Source organism: Homo sapiens, chromosome 6 (assembly GCF_000001405.40).
Source record: "Homo sapiens chromosome 6, GRCh38.p14 Primary Assembly".
In the NCBI taxonomy this organism is placed as follows: Eukaryota; Metazoa; Chordata; class Mammalia; order Primates; family Hominidae; genus Homo; species Homo sapiens.
This window is the reverse complement of record NC_000006.12, coordinates 26363996-26383105: the sequence shown is the minus strand read 5'-3', so window position 1 is coordinate 26383105 and position 19110 is coordinate 26363996. Positions and strand designations below refer to the sequence as shown.

Below are 19110 nucleotides of genomic sequence, written 5' to 3'. Positions count from 1 at the left end.
GATTTCCACTGAGCAGTTTAGAGCCCAGGATTGGCCGAGTGAGGCTGAACCAACCAATGGTGTCTCGAGCCTTATTTCTCAGCTGTTACTAGGTAGAATACACACACAAAAACCCCCCAAAAATCTCAAGCAGCAAATAACCTTTTGGGATTATTAGGTATTTCTATTTCCTTTTTCTGTCTTTGGAAGCAAGACTTTTTTCCTTTATTTTCCTTTCTTCCTTCCTTTCTTCCTTCCTTCCTTGCTTCCTTCTTTCCTTTCTCATTCTCTTTTTCTTTCTTTCTTTCTTTCATATGTCTCTCTCTCACTTTATTCTTTCTTTCTTTCTCGCTTTCTTTCTTTTTTCTTCCTTCCTTCCTTCCTCTCTCTTCCTTTCTCTCTTTCTCTTCCTTCTCTTCTCCTTCCTTTCTTTCTTTCTCTTTCTTTCTTTCTTTCTTTCTTTCTTTCTTTCTTTCTTTCTTTCTTTCTTTCTTTCTTTCTTTCCTTCTCTCTCTCTCTCTTTCTTTCTTTCCTTCCGTTCTTTTACAAAGCCTTGAGATCCCCAAGGTGTCAGTGGCTTTGCTGGTGTAGACGAGGAGAGGGCTCTCTATGTAGAGTGATTTTGCTGGGGAGGAAACATGAGGAGGAAAACATAAGCCGCCGTCTTTCCAAAGCCAGAGGACTCTTGTTCATGTTGCTGGCTTTGAAGGTTGGGCCTGGTGCGCGGGAGGCCTTGGGGGAAGCAGGCATGGCTGGAGTGGGAGGGGTAGCAAAGGAAAGGTGACAGCAGTTGCAGTGGCTGTTATGAAGGTCTTGTTGTTCACTCCAAAGCTATTGGATAAGACGTGCTGAGAATACTGAGTGAGGATTAAAAACCCTTTCCCACGGGGAGGTGGTATTCTGGTGGAGGCAGAAGATGGAAGTGAGCAAAGACTTTCAGTTGACCTTGACCTTCTGCCAGTAGGTGGTGGGGTTAAGTCCAAGGACCACACACACACACCAGCACACATAACCTCCTCCCCATGAACATAATCCCTCCCCCACAGAATCCAATCTTGTCATTGTATAGATATCTTCCAGAATAATCTTCCCAAGGCCCAGTTGTCAATAATCCCCTCAAATGTCTAAATACTTAGTCTGGAACTGGTGCAGTGGCTCACACCTGTAATCCCAACACTTTGGGAGGAGGAGGCAGGCAGATCACTTGAAGTCAGGAGTTCAAGACCAGCATGGCCAACATGATGAAACCCCGTCTCTACCAAAAAAAAAAAAAAAAAAAAAATTAGCTGGGTGTGGTGGCACATGCCTGTAATCCCAGCTACTCAGGAGGCTGAGGCAGGAGAATGGCTTGAACCTGGGAGGTGGAGGTTAGGGTGAGCTGAGATCATGCCACTGCACTCCAGCCTGGGTGACAAAGTGAGACCCTGCCTCAAAATAAATAAATAAATAATAAAATATACACAAATAAATGCTTAGTCTAGAGGCCTCCAATTCCCTTCTGATTCAATTCAAAACTTTGCAGTTAATACACTAGCAATGGCTCCACAGTGGCCTTGCATCACAACGTTGCACTCCCTGTGGCCAGCGCTCCCTTTCCCATGCCATGCCTTTCACTTGAATTGCTTGCTCCATCTTTGCCCCTTGAAATCCTGCCCAGCCTTCGTGCCTACTTCCTCCAAGAACAACTCTGAATGCTCCTGCCTGAAGTGCTCTCGGCCTCTTCTAACACCCATATCTTTTGCTGTTCCCATGTCCTGTCTTCTATTATTGTTATCCAGGTATCAACTGTGTCTTTGCTGTGACTGGAGTACCTGTTCCTCAGGACAGACTTCTGCAGGATGTGATTCTTCTCTCCTTACAAGGCCCAACTCTAAGCTCTGCTCTCAGCTGTTGTTCAATGCATGAGTGACATGCTCAGGGTAAGGTCATTCCCACCACAGGATGGCCCAGTTCCTGGAATCATTCGGCACCAGAGTTCGAGAGAGAGGTGGCAGCACTATTAAGCCACTCTAGATCAGAAGATCAAGGACCAGGAAGGATGAACCAGTAGGTCCCTTCTGCAGAGAAAGCTCTTTGATGAGAATAAGATAAAGAAAGGCCTAAGAAGTGTTTTTACTATTGAATTGACACTTGAACTGTCCCATTCTCATACAGAAGCCTCACTCATCACCTGATATTTCTGGATTATAATTAAAATTGGATCCTGGGTTGAGTGGCTAATGAGGGTAATTATGTCAGTATTAGAATATTCCAACCAGGACTGGGCAGCTGTTGGGAAAGGACAGAAGAGAAGGATGCAAGTGTCTAAGAGCATGGCCACCCAGGATGAGACCTGACTTTATATTTTTATTTGAAGAAATAAGACCCAGGGCTTTGAAGCAGCTTGTGCAAGAAGCATCCAGCTAAGCCAGGCCTCAACCTCTGCCAAAGTTCATCTGAGCAGGAGGGAAACATGTGTGTTCTGAGAAGGAAGAGGATCATTTGGCCATGGGGTAGCTTAGCAAGAAACCAGGTTCTACTGGGGTGTGCCAGGTTAGATAGTAATGATCTAACCCAATCATACTGTGTCCTGGGATGGAAAAAGAGACAGGAAGGGTCACTTCAGAAAGATTCTTTATGGACATGGTGTACCTGCCAATCCTGGAAGAACCGGGACCCGGAGTGAGCAATGATTCACTGTTGCTGTGCAATAAACTCCAATCTTTGAAAGTAATATGGGTGTGTCATCTCCAGCTATGGAGTACTCCGAGGGGATCCACAGGCATCTTGGCACACAGAAAATCCATTTCTACTTTGTCCTGTTCAAATTTTAGTTTCCTGACTCACAGAATCAATGAGCATATTATAATGCTTATGTAAGCTTCCAAATTTTACAACTGCCGCAATATTAACTAGTACATTTACCTTGTCTCAACACAACAAATTTTTTCAAAGAGAAGAAATGATATTGGGCTTCTAAAAGAAACAAACATGATAAAATTGCCTAAGCTCTCCATTTGGAGCCTTCTCTCTGCTCATCTGCTTTGGTCTTCTCTGCAGTCCACCATCCTTTAGTCCACAGCATGAATGGAACATTTCTTCCCACAGCTCCCATGCACATCTGTTACAGGAGTAACTAGCCACATGTCACTTAGTCCTCTGGCCTAGCCTGGGTCAGTGTCCATCCTAGACCCAGTCCATGTGGTGAGGCTGCAGGGCCATGTGATATGGGCATGTATTGGAAGACAAGAGGTCACTAATGCTAAATAAATGTGGTGCAGGGAGGGCAGAGAGACCTTGAAAGGCATTCACTATATTCTCAGAGGTGAGCCCTTATAACTGATGCTGTTGATGCCCCATCCCTTATTCTCTTGGCCTATCACAGTTTGCCAATAGCTGAGGCACAGTTTTCTGCAAAGATGACAACCTTCCCACCTCCAGTGAGTATCTCCCTTCTCCTTTGCCTGTGAGCTTTATCACACCCATGATAGTTGCTTTTCTGCAGTTACATAGCCCAATCTTAAAGTACATTAGAATTAACACTCCCAGGCCAATCTTCAAACAATTCAAGCAAAGGAGGATGGGAAGTGGAGATAAAGTCGCAGGCCCTGTAGTCCTTAGGAAGATTCTGAGCTATATCACACATTTCATATGGTTTCTTAGAGAGTCGTAAAAGGGATTAAGCCAAGTTTTCCACATGATAACTGACTCATGAATGAACTCTTTATCTCATTTCTCATGTAATTGGCTTTCTTTCATTTCTCAATTTATTTCTGCACTTGTGTTTCCTGGGATCACTTCCCAAATCAGTGTGGTGAGCTGAGTAGTGCCCCCCCCCGCCCACCCTTTGAGTTATATCCACTAAGAAACTTATGAATAGAATGTATAACATGGCGAAATGGATGTTACACAAAATTAAAATTATGGACCTTAAATTAGAGAGATTATTCTAAACTGTCTGTTGGACTCAGTCAAATCACAGGAGTCTTTAAAAGTAAAAGGCAGACTGAGTGCCGTGGCTCATGCCTATAATCCCAGCACTTTGGGAGACCAAGGTGGACAGATTTCTTGAGCTCAGGAGTTTGAGACCAGCCTGGGCAACATGGCAAGACCCTGTCTCTACAAAAAAAATACCGGGGCATGGTGATGTGGGCCTGTGGTCTCAGCTACTTGGGAAGCGGAAGTGGGTGGATTGCTTGAGCCCAGGGGACAGTTTGCAGTGAGCCGAGATCACGCCACTGCACTTCATCCTGGGTGACAGAGCGAATCCCTGTCAACAATAAATAAATAAATAAATAAAAGGAAGGAAAAAAAGGAGAAGGTAAAAGAATCAGAATGATACAATGGAGAAAAAGAACTAGGAGAGGAGACTCAATGTACTGTTGCTGCTTTGAAGATGGAGGAAGGGAGCTAAGAGTCAGAGTGTGGCAGCCTCTAGAAGTGGGTACAGTCCCTGGCTATAAACCAGGAAACAACTGGGACCTCATTCCTGTAAATGAAGGGAACTGATTCTGCCAACGATCTGAATAAGCAAGGAAATAGATTCTTCCTTAGAGACTCCAGAAAGGAATCCAGCCTGCAGACACCTTGATTATAGCCTGGTGAGATCCCTGTGGGACTTCTCACCTACAGAACAGTGAGATAATAGATTTGTGTTGCTTTAAATCTATGAATTTCTGGTAATTCAGATGGCAACAATAGAAGAGGCATCCAATAAGGGTTTTGTGAAAATGCTGCAGTGAGGCAAACTGAAACTGTGGGGAGTACAGTGGGTATGTAGACTACTCTACTGTGCTGAGTAGACACCACAGTCTAGAAAAAACCAAGTTGAAGAGTCAGCATTATTAACAAATTTATTGAACAACTAGAACTTGACAAGCACTTGCCCAGTAGAGGGGATACAGTGGTGAGCAATAATAGTGATGATAATGAGGAGCAGTTTTCCCTAGCAGGCAGCAGTTGAAAGGAATATGGGTTTAACATCCACCAATGACCAGGAGTGGACAGATCCTTTTCCAGGAGACTGAGTCCATAGTGGGATTAAAAACATCCCTGTAATTCTTCTAGCTTCCTTCATCCAAATTACCAATATTACAGAGAATCTCTAGGGTATTTGCTCTGCCTGGAAACCTTGACTGAAGGAAGGCTGGCTCTGGCTGCACGATCACTTATCACATTTGTTGGGTGGGAACACATCTGTGCCCCATTATTAACTGAGTGTGGCCTCTAGTCTCTTTCAAAGTCACATGCCCTGTGGGAACTGCAACGTTATTCTCTCAACCAAGACACTCTGCAGAGCCAATCCAAGGAGTGCTGGGTCTAAGGCTCTGATAATCAGCTGGGAAGGAGTCCATAGGGGTCTTAACTCCACAACCACTCACAGTGATCTCGATCCTGGAGCTGTCCTGGGAAGGGAACCTCAGGGCTACATGTGGGCTCTTCCCATGCAGGAAAAATCAGGCTGGAAAAGAACGGGCAATTGGCCAGGGACTGAAGCTGAACATCTCCCAACTGCACAAATTACCGTGTGAGTTATGTAAGCTACTTAATGTTGCCCTGCCTCTGCTTCCATACTTGCCAAATGAGACTACCTGACAGGGTGTTGTGAGGATTAAAGGAGTGACACCCACCAAAGCTCATAACACAGCACTCAGAACGTTTTAAATTCTCCATTAATGTTAGTCATTGTTGTTCAGATCCCAGCTCTGTTGTTCACTATTCCTGTCTGCTTTGTAAAGTCAATACACTTTTCTACACCCCAGTTTCCTTATCTGTATAAAGGGGCCAATAAGGTGGCACCAAACTCAAACAACTGTCCTATGGAATAATTGAATGAATATCAGTAAAGTGCTTCAGTGTGTGCCTGTAGCTTTATGGTTCTGACTGGCTGTTGTGGAGGGTGAGACCCTTAGCTCCAGGCTGGGCAGGGAGAAGCAGAGATGTTACTTCAGCCTGAGGCTCCCCACTTTCATTAGCTAAGCCTGGGGTCAGTGGTATCTCCAGGGAATGATCAGGCACTAGGTCGGGATCGGGGGAACTCTCTACTTTTGGTATTGGGCAAACGGTCAGGGCAGTGGGCTCCAAGGTCAAAATTCTGAATACAGGATACAGAGGCTCAGAGGAAGAGGCGTGCAGAAATGTGTAGATATGAGATCCATCCGTGGCATTGTAGAACGAGATATGTCCAGTCTCATAGTCCAGGATGACCCCCACTTTCCTAGGAGGCTCAGGAAGTTTCAGGTTGGTTCTGGGCTCAGTGAGAGCCCGATACTTATTCCCATCAGTCAGGCCCATAGTCCAGTATCCGTTCTCCGGTGTCATTTTGACCCAAACTTTTTTCCTCTCCACGTTCTTACTACATACCCCAATATGCCACTCTTTTCTGTCCCCCACTTCCACCTCCCAGTAGTGTCTCTCTGACATGAAGCTTTCACAGCCAAGCACACAGTAACGCCATTCAAATCTCTCAGGGTTGTCTGGTAGGTCATGGGGCTCCTCAGCACGCTGTACACTCCTCTGGTCCTCAGAAACAAGGAGGATGGCATTTGCCATGTCTGGATACAGAATTACATCTGCTGCAGAGAGTTTGAGGAGGTGTCCATGGGGTCAGCCATTTTTCCTGGATTTAAGAGCCACAGCATGCAAGGCTTGGGCCATGCTGAGGAGGTCCTTCCAGAACCCCGTGTCCCTAGCCTGCCCTGAATGTGATTCTCTCATCAATGTCATTGGTGAAAGCCCCAGGGGTCTAGTGACCAGAGGGGAAATGAAAGTAAGGTCAGTATCTGCCTAACCCAATACCCTGATGCGGCCCCAAGAAGCAACAAGGATCCTCTTTCTACATTTTTGTTGTTTCCCTCCCCACATTGATTCTGCCCACTGATGCTTTATACTCAGAGGTTAATTTTCTTTTCTTTTTTTTTTTTTTTTTTTTTCTTGAGACAGAGTCTCGCTCTGTCTCCCAGGCTGGAGTGCAGTGGCGTGATCTCGGCTCACTGCAAGCTCTGCCTTCCGGGTTCATGCCATTCTCCTGCCTCAGCCTCCCGAGTAGCTGGGACTACAGGTGCCCGTCACCATGCCCGGCTAATTTTTTATTTTTTGTATTTTTAGTAGAGACGGGGTTTCACCGTGTTAGCCAGGATGGTCTTGATCTCCTGACCTTGTGATCCGCCCTCCTCAGCCTTCCAAAGTGCTAGGATTACAGGCATGAGCTGCTGTGCTGGCCCTCAGAGGTTAATTTTCAATCTTCACTCGACCACTCGTGAGCTAAATGAGTTCCCCTTTTCTGCAGTCTATTTTTCCATACATCCAATTTATTTAACAAGGTGGAGCCTCATCTGAAGCATTTCCTCACCTGAAAAATGGGGATAAACATATGAATCTCTAGCGCTGTAGAAGGCAATCATATTATTTACTCAGCCCACAGCAGGCCATGAAGGAAGCTCCTCATCTTCCTGATAGCTGCAAGGCCGTCTCTGTGCTGGGCTCTGTGTGGGGCCTTATATGCCCTAGATTCACTCTCCAGCCTTCAGCTTTCTCCACCCTCTTCTGGACCCCAGGAATCTGTCCTCTATGGACAGTGCCACTGGGCTCCCTTGTCCTCTGGTTTGCTGCTGTGTTTGGCCAATGGGAGGCCCTGATAGAAGATTAGAAGGAGAAAGAAAGGAGATACACACCGTTTAATTTCCTGCTTCCTCCCTGCCAGCAGCAGCTGGTGGTGCTCTAACAAGGCCCGAGGACTCTTCTCAGGAAGCTCCCTCGTTAAGCTACCTCTTTCTCTGGGTTCCAGTAATTGCCTCCCCTTTTTAGCCCTCCCAGGCTAGGGGTGGAGACAGCTCCCCACTGTTGGGAACCATGGGGGCACTGCACTTTTCCTTGTTGCTTTCCCTTAACCCTTCTTTCTGGAAACCTTGTCCAACTACCCAGTTTGAGCTCACCATCTATTTCTTGCTAGGTTTCTGCCAAGCATGTTCATTATTCCTTCAGTCTTCACCTCAACCCCCATGAAAAACAGATTGCAATCATCATCTAAAAATGTGGAGGCCAAAGCTTGGAAGCATTAAATCCTTTGAGGAGATACAGGCAGTAGGTGGCATGAGAAGCCTGGGAAGGACAAAGTTCTTTGGGCAGGCATCACCTCCTCTCCTTGGCATTTCCATCCTCACTCTCCCTGCAGTATTACTCAGTGTGTGTCTCCTTCCCTTCACCTCCACCCTTTATGCGTCTTCCTACCCACGAAGGAAGTCAAGGGAACTTTTCTGCTCCAAATCACAAGAGTTGGAGAAGAAAAAAGGAAAAAGGAATATAGTCCCTCAGGTTGTTGGTCCAGGGAACATGCAGTGATTTACTCACCAGGCTTGAAGAGGGCCATTTTTCCATTCTGAAAGGAAGGAGACACAGATAAGAAAAAGGTCAGTATTTTTGTACTTTTCCCACTCCATTCTCCTCTCACTACATGTTTTCTCTCCTTTTCTTTAGAGTCTCTTCCAGGGTCCAGCTTCCCTCCTCTACAGCTCTGATGGATCAGAGGTGGCACCTTCTCAAAAATGTCAGGCTTGGCTCCCTGTGTCATGGGGGGTGCAGGATGCATGGCCAGGCTTTACAAGGGGGTGTGCAGGATCAGGAGTTTCTCAGAGGCTCCAGAAAAGCGGAGGTGAACCCCCACCACACAGAAATTGAGTCTTTAGATTAGATCTAATTAATCCAGCTGAGAACATCCACGGGTCACAGTGGAGAAAAAGTTGAAATATTCAGGGCATGTGACCCAGCAAACTTACAGAGCATCAGGCTGACTTATTGGTATCGGACGAAGACTCCTCTCCACCTACAATGAAAGAAAGGTAGAGGTGTCACCAGAACTCTGCCTTTTCTGTGTTGGCCCCTTCCCCTTCTTTTTGCATCCATCTAGTCTTTTTTTTTTTTTTTTTTTTTTTTTTTTTTTTTTTTTTTACCATCCCACCCTTCCCCATGGTCTCCATCTTCAGGTACAATTCTTTCTTCACCTCTTCTTAATATCAAGTCTGGGAACATCGGTTGAACGCTAGTGGCAGGGCAGGCACTGTGAGAGTTCCTTCCCAATGGGGTCCAGCTCATCTGTTTTGAATGTGTACCTGGGCATAGGTGTCACCATGTCTATATGTGTATGCCTAGGAGTACAAGATTCATCCTTCTCAATCTGTATCATTTCGTACCTTGCTCTAAAAAGAATTTGGGAAATTTAATGAGCAATTTCAGGGACTAGTTTTTGAAAGCAGTTATGATCTATCTGTACCAACTGAGCCACTGTAGCTACTCCTCTTTATTAGACACACTTTTCTCCCTCCCTCTCTCTTTTCTGATTTTCTTATTTCTTAAATCTTCCATTCTTGTTTTCCTTTCAACAGCCTCTAGATTATGGGAAACAACAAGTAAGTTTCCTGCCATAGAAAATGCACCTCATCCTTCTCTTCCCTCTTCCTTTTGAAGTGTACCCCTGGATATTCCTCAGTGCTTTTTAGAGCTTAAGGGTCTGTAGCCCCTAGTACAAAGAGATTGAAGACCTCTTTTTTTTTTTTTTTTTTTTCTAGAGAGAAAAAGCACTGGGTGGTTTCTCCAAAGAGCCACACTTGTTTTCTTTTTCTGGGTAAAGGGATCCAAGACCACTTTTCAACCCTGGGCTATGACTTATGGGCTGGAAAATAATGAAGCAGAGAGAGAGTAACAGATTTGAATTCAGAGAAAATGTCAAAGCCACTCACGAGTCAAGTACTGGATTTTTTTCCTCTCTGCAATGGAATGAACAGGGAAGAGTCATCAAGGTGCTCAAAGCGAGGATAGGAAGACATGTCTGGATCTCTGGGGGAATGGTAACTTACTGAGTTCCTCCTGGAGGCTCTCTGGAAAATAACCAAAAAAAAAAAAAAAAAAAAAAAAAGATGAACTGTTATGGGTGAGGTTGGTGTTTCGGGAAATAAACCTTAAACATGATGCAGTGCCAGGGTAGGGGAGAGAGGTGAGGTTTTCAGGCTGGGGCATGCAAGCCAAGAGCTTAGATTCTCTGCTTGCGTTGGATACCTCTTAGGCTTATTTCCCGCTCTGTTGCAGCATATCCCATTTCTTTCATCTCTTGCTCACTTTCTATCTCACTGGACAGAGCAGTTATTTCCTTCTGTTGTCTCCACAAGAAGTAACTGGCTCCGGCGAGAAGCAGCAGCAAGATAGGCAGGGTCCCTGCCAGGGCTGCGATCCAGGGCTGGGCGCTCCTGAAGAAGGGGTCTGCGAAGGGGAGAGCTGTAGGTCATGGGCGCTGGTGCGCTCAGCCTCCCCAGCCTGCAGCACCCCAAGCTTTAGCTGCTCAGCTCAGGTCGGGGGTGGGGAATCTATCTCATGAGGTTAAATAAGGATTCTCTCCCTAAAGTCTCAGAGGACTATAGATAAGACTTTGGTAAACCCTCACTACAAGCTACTACTATTACTTATCTTGAGATGTCTGCCTCTCACATGGAAAGTAACTTGAGCAAAGTCATACACATTTTTTCTAAATATTTTTTCAATAGGTAACACATTTACATCGTTCAAAACTACATACACATAAAGTCACGCAACTCTCTCATTCACCCTGTCCTCCCTCCCTCCATGTATTAACTTCTTAGTCCACTTAATATGATGCTTAGGAACATAACCTGTGGAGTCAGAGGGTATGGGTTTCAATGCTGGCTCCCCCATGTGACTAGCAGTGTGATGTTGGACTACTTACATAACCTCTCTGTTTGTAGTGGCCTAATCTACTAATGTAAAATGAGGGTAATGATAATACCTATTTCCTGAGGTTAGAAGAATTGAATTAATACTTATAAAGTGCCTGATGTACAGTAAGTGTTACAAAATTGCTTGTTGAAGTTTAAAAATGTAAACTAACCCAATTGAGAACTAAAAAAAAGTAAATTAAAATATATTCTTATTTTTCCTCTTGTTTAAACTAAAAATAGCATTCTATACACGTCCCTCTGCATCTTGCTTTTTCTGTGTAAAGTGTATCTTGGAGATCTTTCCATATTAGTATAGAGAGAATTGCTTCTTTTTCCTTTTACAAACTGTGCAGTATTCCCTTGTATGGAAGTTCCCTGGCAGTGAACATCTGCACAGTTTCTAACCTTGTGCAATAGTAATCAGTGCTATAAGAAACCTTTTACAGGCCGGTTGCAGTGGCTCACGCCTGTAATCCCAGCACTTTAGGAGGCTGAGGCGGGTGGATCACTTGAGGTCAGGAGTTTGAGACCAGCCTGGCCAACATGGTAAAACCTTGTCTCTACTAAAAATACAAAAATTAGCTGGGTGTGGTGGCACATGCTTGTAATCTCAGCTACTTGGGAGATTGAGGCAGGAGGATCACTTGAACCTGGGAGGCAGAGGCTGCAGCGAGCTGAGATTGCACCACTGCACTCAAGCCTGGGCAATAGAGTGAGACTTTGTCTAAAAAAAAAAAAGACACACACACAACGAAAAACAGAAACCTTTCACATGGATCATCTCATACAAATGCAAGCTTATCTATCAGATAAATTCCTAGAAGTGGAAGTTTGGATCGATAAGTGTGTAGTTTGGATAGATATTGCTATAGAGCCCCCAACAGAGGTTGACCTAATGCACATCAAAAATACAGGAAGTTACATGAGCAAATGACTGAGAGTCACTGCCTTCCTACATTCCTATGAGAATCATGTATTATAAGCCAAAGCAGTTTTGATTTTTGCAAATATCATAAGTGAAAAATTATTTCATATGTTTACCCAGTGAGTGAGAATGAGCACCCTTTTGTGAGTTATTTCCTTTTCTGTGAATTGATAATTCATGGGCTTTGTTAACATTTTTTTTACTTGGTTTCTATTTTATTTTATTTTATTTATTTTTTGAGACAGAGTCTCGCTCTGTAATCCTGGCTGGAGTGCAGTGGTCTGCTCTCACTCACTGCAACGTCTGCCTCCTGGGTTCAAGTGATTCTCGTGCCTCAGCCTCCTGAGTAGCTGGGATTAGAGGTGCACTCCACCACACCTGGCTAATTTTTTGAATTTTTAGAAGAGATGGAGTTTCACCATGGCCAGGCAGGTCTCAAACTCCTGGCCTCAATGATCTGCCTGCCTCGGCCTCCCAAAGTGCTGGGATTACAGGCGTGAGCCACCATGCCTGGCCAAAACTTTTTACTAGGTTTTTAGAATCTCCTTCTGATTCAAGGAGATCAGCTCTTTCTCTATGATATGAGTTTGTAAATATATATATATAACCATTTTGTCATTTCACATTATATAAGGAGCTTATCTTAATGTTTTTCCTCCAATTCCCATTGCCTGTCATACTTTCTGGCAGATAGGAAATGTTCAGAAAATGTTTGTGTTACGAACACCTTTATGGAGGAAAGAAGCTCCCCTGGCACAAAGAGGAGCCTCCAGGTCTGTGCTTTGGGCCTTATATTCAGTGCAGAGACCCAGGTCGACCACAGATATTAACACATCCCCCTTCATTCAACTGCCACAGCTCAGCTCAGAAAACCTGAGGCCAAGCAGGTACTGACCTGCGATGGAAATGCTGGCTGTCTTTTCCAGGCCGAGGAGGGAATTTCTGATGATGCAGGATACACCCTCCCCGGAGCCGCCTCTCATGATCACAGATGCTGCTACTTCATATAGGCCCACTCCATCTGCAACCACAGGTGCTTCCACAGCTGGGATGTTCTCTCCCTTGGCGTTGCTCCACTGTATTTGGGGTTGGGGGTACCAGCCGGTGGACCTGCACTCCAGATGGATCCCTCCATCCTCATAACCCTTCACTTCGACGTGAAGATTAGAACCCAGTGCTGTGGAAGGATAATTTGGCCTAAATTCTGGATAGCTCCTGTATTAGGGAGGGTCTCAATGGGAATCAATGTCAGGCTCAGATTTGATAATTCAAGAGATATTTCATTCAGGAGCTGTTTACAAAAGTGTGGTCATGATGAGGGGAAAACTAAATTTGCTAGTGCAGTATCCCAGGGTCAGAAACAGTGGGGCTATTCCCACCCACCCCAATTACCAGAGGGAGGAGGAGAGGAAGCTGTTTTGAACACAAAAAAGAAGAGATTCATGCATTGAGGACTTCCTTTAGAGGAGCTGTTACCTTCAGCAAGGCAATGCAGCCAGCCTGAGGGTAACTTGCAGTAAGGAAGCCAGTGAATAAGCACCCAGACTTCTTCCTTTTCTCTTCCTCCTATGATTGTCTGCTAGAGATCCCCTTAAACCAAACCTAACCAGCAGCCACAGGGCAAGGGATTGCACTGAGAAAGAGAAAAGCTGTCCCAACATATGGAAACTGACACCGGGTCTCTGTGTCATCCTGTTGAACATAAGCAATTTCACAGAACACAGACAATGGCACTTTGTGACTATGATGGATCATGGGAAAAACAATACCACCCCACATCATATGTGAGCATAGAGAAAAACATGAACATTGTCCAAACCACAGCAGTGACCAAACATCCCCCCTCAGCAATGAGGGATTGCTGCCCCTTCATCAATTACAGCTTTTGTCTCACCCTGGTCTCCTTCTTCCTACATAAGATTGATTAAGGCTCTCACTCAGAATTAACCTGCCCACACCTTCCTGATGGAATCTCATCCAGAGCAGAGGGCTAAGTCTATGAACTCCCCCGGCCCCAATCCCCTAACACAAGCCCAAATTGTATACCAAGTCTGCTCTAACACCTTCTTACTGAGACCCCGCCACAGCTCCCCATGATGTGTGTTCTTCCTCACTGCAACACGTAAGAAATACAGCTAGTTCTACTACAGGAGTATTCCTGGGGATGGCTAGTTGGAGAACACTGGCAGCAGATACAGTCACTATTCCACCTCCCAGGACCCATGGTAGTGTGCACTTGGAGACACAACAGAAGCCATCTGTTACACAACTAAACCAAAATGACTGTGTACCAGTCACTGAAGAGATGGTTTCTTATGCTTCCTATCCCTCGTCCTTCACTTCGCTTATATCTCTGGTGGCCAGAGGAAAGGAGTTCTTTACTTGAGCATGTAGGGTACAGCAGGAATTCTTCCTAAAGGAAAACCTGTGTCTTACTCAAGGGCCTCAGAGAAGCTAAGTTGGGAGGCAGTGCAGGCAATTGCTAGTGAGCAGCCAGGAGTGTCTGCAGTGCTTTTGCAAGAGGGACTCTGCATCTGCTCTAGATCCTACAGAGAAATGTTCTCAGAACAAAACCTGGAGGCTCACCTGCAACCTTCAGCTCCACCAGGGCTTTTTCATAGAAGTCACCATCTTGGAAATAACACAAGTACTTTCCACTGTCAGAGGCTGTGACGTTGTGTATTCGGAGAGCAGCCTTCCCTGCAGTGATGCCATCCCGCAGAATCGAAGTTCTCCCTCGATACGGTGCACTCTGCCTGTCTTCCACTTCCTTTCCATCTGCATACACGTTCACCACCTGCCTTAGGCTGGAACTTACCCACTTCAGCTCCATGGTCTCTGCACTCATGGTCGGGAACAGGTGACAGGGCAGATCAGCGTCTTCACCCACCATGGCCAGGATGGGCCCAGAGGGTCCAAGCACAGAAAACTGAGCTGTCAGCACAAGGGGGAAGCTCCATCAGAGGGTTTTGGAGTTGGGGTCATGAGAGGAAGGGTCCTTCTCAGACAGGGAAGGCGAGATACAGAGAACCTAGAGGGGAACACAATCCTAACAGAAGGACCATTTGTCTCTTTGTGACAGGTGATCCTTCAGGTTGGGATGGACTTCCAGGTATGGGAATGAGTTAAAGGTTCTAAGAGGGCATTTAGGTAATTGTCTGCTTAATTAGGTAATTGAGATAATTGTCTGCTTCAGAAACATAAATGTGGAATCATGGAATCATTCCCTACCTGAGCAAGGAGTGAGCAGCTGGACCAAGAGGAGGGAGACATGAAAGTTGAGCAGAAGGAAAGCCAGGGAACTTGCCATTTTCATCTATGCTGCATATCAAGAGATACCAGAAGGTGTGGGACAGACACTATGGCCTGGAAGAAGCTTTAGGATTCTGCATGGAAATGTCCACTTCCCCAGGGCTAACTCAAATATGGTGACCGAAGAAGATCTTACCTCTGCCAAAAATGTCTGTCCTTGAGTGTCTTTACCTTTGGGTTCCAGTATGGAAAACCATCTGTAAAAATAATATCTGTTATCTGATCAGGACATCTCTGACTCTACTGCATTAAAATATTAAAATATTCATAATCCTATCACTTCCCCACACTTCCCTTGCCAGGTCCAAGCTTCCATCATCCCCCTCTGATTCATGAAGGACCCTCTTCACTGGATTCCCTGGTCCCACCCTTGTTCAGCTCTGTGGGTGTCCAACACTATGGACTCCTCAAGCGTCAAACTCTTGGCCATTACTACAGTCAACTTATGGCCTGGTGGCTCCTGGTGGGATCCAGGCAGACTGCCTGGCAGAGGCTCTGAAGTCAGTCAGGGGCTGAACCCACCACGTTTAATCACAAAGATATTGATTAGGAGAGCTTTGAATAAGACCAGGCTTTACTCATCTTTTCTTTCTTCCCTTCATAAAGTTATTCAACAAATATTTACTGAGCACCCACAATGGGCTGGACCCACTATGGTAGAGTTAGGAACACAAAGAGGGTAGACAATAGGTAAAGGCTCTACAAGTCACAAGCTTGATGATCTCAGTCATGGGACAAAACCATTTCAACTTTAGTTACTCAAAAATATCGAGTATGAGACTTAGAATGTTCACAATTGGCCCAGCAATTCCACTTCCTGATGGTTACTTCAGCGAAGTACTCGCATGGGTGCAGAGAGAAGCCTCTGTGGGAATGACACTGCAGCACTATTTTTAAAGTATAAAAGTGGTTACCAACTGAACCAGCCACTCACAAGAGACTGGTTAGAGGAATGATGGCTCATCCCTAGGAGGAAATTCAATGCAGCAGTTAAAAAGAGTGATTTAATGTCACTAGCCTGGATAATGGAGATATACTAAGTGATTAAAAAGCACCTTGCAGAACTATACTAATGATTCAATTGAAAAACAAAAGCAAAGCTATACATTTCTGCATAACTATATATGTAAATGCCTGAAAAAGTCTAAAATGATGGATGCTAAACTGAAAATTGGAGGTTAAGTGAGTGAAAGGACGCTTTGGCCTTTTGCTTCCTTTACTTTTAAAATTATTGGAATGCTTTAAGTTTAAAATTTTCATGTATTAGTTAATAACTAATTATTATGAGGAATAATAGTGACTGGAACATATTAGCTGCTCAGTAAATACTAACTCCTCAACAGTTTCTCCCAAAACAAAGGAGCATGAGGCCTGCAGCCATCATACCAGCTGCTGTGGGTCTGGGAATGGCCTCTGAGAACAAGGTCTGCAGATGGAGGTGGGGAGAGATGTAGAGGAAGCAAGGGAACAGAGGTCTGTGCAGCTGGTCATGCTCCACCCCTGCCTGGATCTTGCATCCACCATCAGACTAAACATTATATTTCACCACATCTTCTGCTCCTCGAAACTGCTCTTTATTCTCCTAAGGAGAAGGAGGTATTATTAAGCTAAGCTAAAAATTTCTCTGCTGTCCTCAGAGGGAGAACTTTTATTTTTTAGGTTATTTATTATTCATTCTTTCTACTATAGACAATTTTGCCAAAGAAAAAAATATAAAGGAATAAAACCTTAAATACTCTGTAGTTATATACTTTGCTAATGGAAGTGGAAATGTTTCTGGAAGCATTTGGCCATGTACACATGGCAAGTGCCTTTAAAATGTTGTATTATTTGCCCCCAAAATTCCAACTATAAAAGTTAGTGTTGAAGAAAAAAATTTAGAGATTGATGCAAATATTTATGGATAAGGCTGTTCAATCTAGTAAAATCTACAGTAACAAAATGTAGAAACTGAAAAATCCAAAATAAAGAGTTTTAAAAATAATTCGGGTTTTTTATTTGTTTGTTTGTTCTTTTTTCTTCTTTAGGAGCGGCTTTCTGAGTCAGAGTAGGCTCACAGAGACTCCCAATAATTATATATTCATACAATGTAGTAGCTTGTAACCATGGGAAATCATGCTTTAGGTTTTGGGGAAATGATGAATGGAAAGAAAACCAAGTACTATCCCTAAAAGATACCAAAAATGGTTTAATATAAGGATCCAGTGTTATTAAAATTATAAAGAATTTCACTTAATTAAAATTATGATTCCTAATGGTTACATGGAACATGTTTTATGACTGAACCATGCATTGTTTGTCTATTCCCCACCTGTTGAATATGTATGTTGGTTCAGATTTTACTATATTATAAATACTTCTGTAATAAACACATTTACATATAAATCTATGAGGCACATCTCTTTTTTCTTCTTCTTCTTCAGAATTTCTCAGAATAGATGCCTTGAGTTGGCCAGAACAGATTTTAAGGGTTTTTTGTTTGTTTGTTTGTTTGCCCTTTTCTGACCACAATACGTTAAGAACATGCAGTTGGAATATTTCTTCATTCATGTTGTCTCCCTTTCCTTCCACTAAATCCCAACCTCTGCAGTTCCTTATACTTTGCAGTACTTCTCCCGTCTTCCCACGTGCCCATATGTGCATGTGCGAGTGTGCACATGTACACATGTACACACACACACACACACACACACACACACACACACACACACAGGCACTGCACCCCTTTCTCTGGGAGAGTACTCTCCCTGCATGCCCACTCACCACTCTCAGCGATTCAGCCCCGCTCCTCCCATGCGTTGTAGCCCAGGCTCTAATCAATTTCCTGCACTTACCCCTTGGTATTCCCATTGGAGAATCAGAGCCCACAGAATAAAGACGGTCAATCAATAATTCTCCATTCTTTCTATTATGGCTTAGCCTCTCATCCGGAAGAAAGGAAAAAGAGAAAGCAAATATTGTCTTCTCACCATGAGAAACAGTAAGAGTCGCTCTTTGGAAGAATTAGTTTTTTGATTGGCTCAGAGGTGATGTTTCTCATCAGTTGCTGGGCAGAAACCACTGAGGAACGTTGAAATGAAAACTGAAAGTACATTGAATTGTACACGTTGAGGAAAAACTCCAGCCCTACCTCCCTTAGTGTTTGTGTTTCTGTGTTTATCTATTTGAATCATTCTTGTGCGTGGATGTATATAAGTATTTCTTTATATTCACCTGTCTCGTGTCTTTTACATGGTAATAGAAATATTAGCAGAATGGAGTAGGAAAGTAAAAAAATTTAATGTGCAAAGAGAGGAAGATGTGCACTAATTAAGATGCTTCTGTGGCAGTTTGCTTGCATGTAGATAGGTACGTAGAAGAGGAGGATCTTTTTTACAGAGCCTAATAAAGGTATGAATGGAAAGAAAATGAGACAAACTGCACCTCTTTAAGAACTTCTGGCATTTAGGCTTAGGATATGGTATCAAATAATATAATTTTTCTGATTTCCAGAGGCAGTGCTGCTTGACATTGTTTTACCTTTCCCAGGAAATTCTTACTGCAGATCTTTCTGAGCATCTTCATTCACCCTCAGCTCCTGGTTTGTGCTATATTGTATTTTCTTGGGTATTTGTTTCTCACGCTGCCAGTGGAGTACATATTCTCTGAAGCTAGACACTCCATAGGCTGTGGTCTCTGTAAGGCTCGTTTCCTGTACACCATCTCTGTAAGGAGTTTATGGGACAATCTTGTTCTCCCTGTGGCTTACGACCTCAAAACACACTTTTTTGGGCTGCAAGCCAGAAATCTCCTAGAGCTAATATGTGACTGGAGCTGATGGGATTTGATTATATTGCAACAGTTTGAATTTAGGCTGTGTGGTATCTGCTTGAGATGGCTGGTTGCTTCTGCAGCGTGCATGCCCCCTTCTTCTTAGTGACAAGGCCTAATTTTCTGGGGTACTGCATCCTGCTCTTCCCCCTTGAAGATAGGGCAGGCCAAGGGACTAAGTTGGAGCCAGCGGTTTGTAGGTGAAAGTTGTGGGCTTGTACTTCTCCCAGAAATCCTTCAAAGGGAGGCCAAAATAGCTGGGAGTGTGAGGGTACACTCTCCCTTCTTCCTTCTTCCTCTTGCCTAGAACATGGACTTTGGACCCGGAGGTGCAGTAGCCCACCCTGGGACCATGAGGCAGCCTTGAGGTTGGAAGCCACA

The 19110-nt window shown here is 44.3% G+C and overlaps 1 protein-coding gene across 17 annotated transcripts, besides 2 other annotated features; it reads right to left on the bottom strand.

Annotated features, from left to right (window-relative positions):
- Positions 60 to 149: a silencer, noted in NCBI's record as "silent region_17008". NCBI's record gives its function as "represses an Ori minimal core promoter by ATAC-STARR-seq in GM12878 lymphoblastoid cells {active_cell/tissue: GM12878}" and the evidence as "EXISTENCE:reporter gene assay evidence [ECO:0000049][PMID:35858748]".
- On the bottom strand, positions 4786 to 17937 carry BTN3A2 (butyrophilin subfamily 3 member A2). Of its 17 annotated transcripts, none has more exons than NM_001197247.3 (11): positions 17754 to 17908; positions 15056 to 15131; positions 14839 to 14923; positions 14194 to 14541; positions 12503 to 12784; positions 10009 to 10209; positions 9810 to 9830; positions 9693 to 9719; positions 8733 to 8779; positions 8308 to 8335; positions 4794 to 7591 (listed from the first exon to the last, which is right to left on the bottom strand). In NM_001197247.3, the coding sequence occupies exons 3-9, from the start codon at positions 14921 to 14923 to the stop codon at positions 8739 to 8741; spliced, it is 1005 nt and encodes a 334-aa protein (NP_001184176.1). In that variant the 5' UTR covers positions 15056 to 15131; positions 17754 to 17908; the 3' UTR covers positions 4794 to 7591; positions 8308 to 8335; positions 8733 to 8738. The 17 variants fall into 17 exon arrangements, with proteins under 17 accessions (NP_001184175.1, NP_001184176.1, XP_006715042.1 ...); XM_006714979.5 differs by having other exon boundaries at positions 4794 to 7309; positions 10009 to 10224; positions 14839 to 14928; positions 15056 to 15116; NM_007047.5 differs by having other exon boundaries at positions 4794 to 7309; positions 14839 to 14928; positions 15056 to 15116.
- Positions 17901 to 17950: an enhancer, noted in NCBI's record as "active region_24240". NCBI's record gives its function as "activates an Ori minimal core promoter by ATAC-STARR-seq in GM12878 lymphoblastoid cells {active_cell/tissue: GM12878}" and the evidence as "EXISTENCE:reporter gene assay evidence [ECO:0000049][PMID:35858748]".

Excerpts from the sequence above, each read along its gene's own strand:
- BTN3A2 (XM_047418113.1), bottom strand. The coding sequence starts at position 14,923 with ATGAAAATGGCAAGTTCCCTGGCTTTCCTTCTGCTCAACTTTCATGTC. Across the intron at positions 9,720-9,809 it reads GAGCCTCCAGGAGGAACTCA|AGAGGAAAAAAATCCAGTAC; the intron begins GTAAGTTACCAT and ends ATTCCATTGCAG. Across the intron at positions 8,780-9,692 it reads AAAAATCCAGTACTTGACTC|GTGGAGAGGAGTCTTCGTCC; the intron begins GTGAGTGGCTTT and ends CTTTCATTGTAG.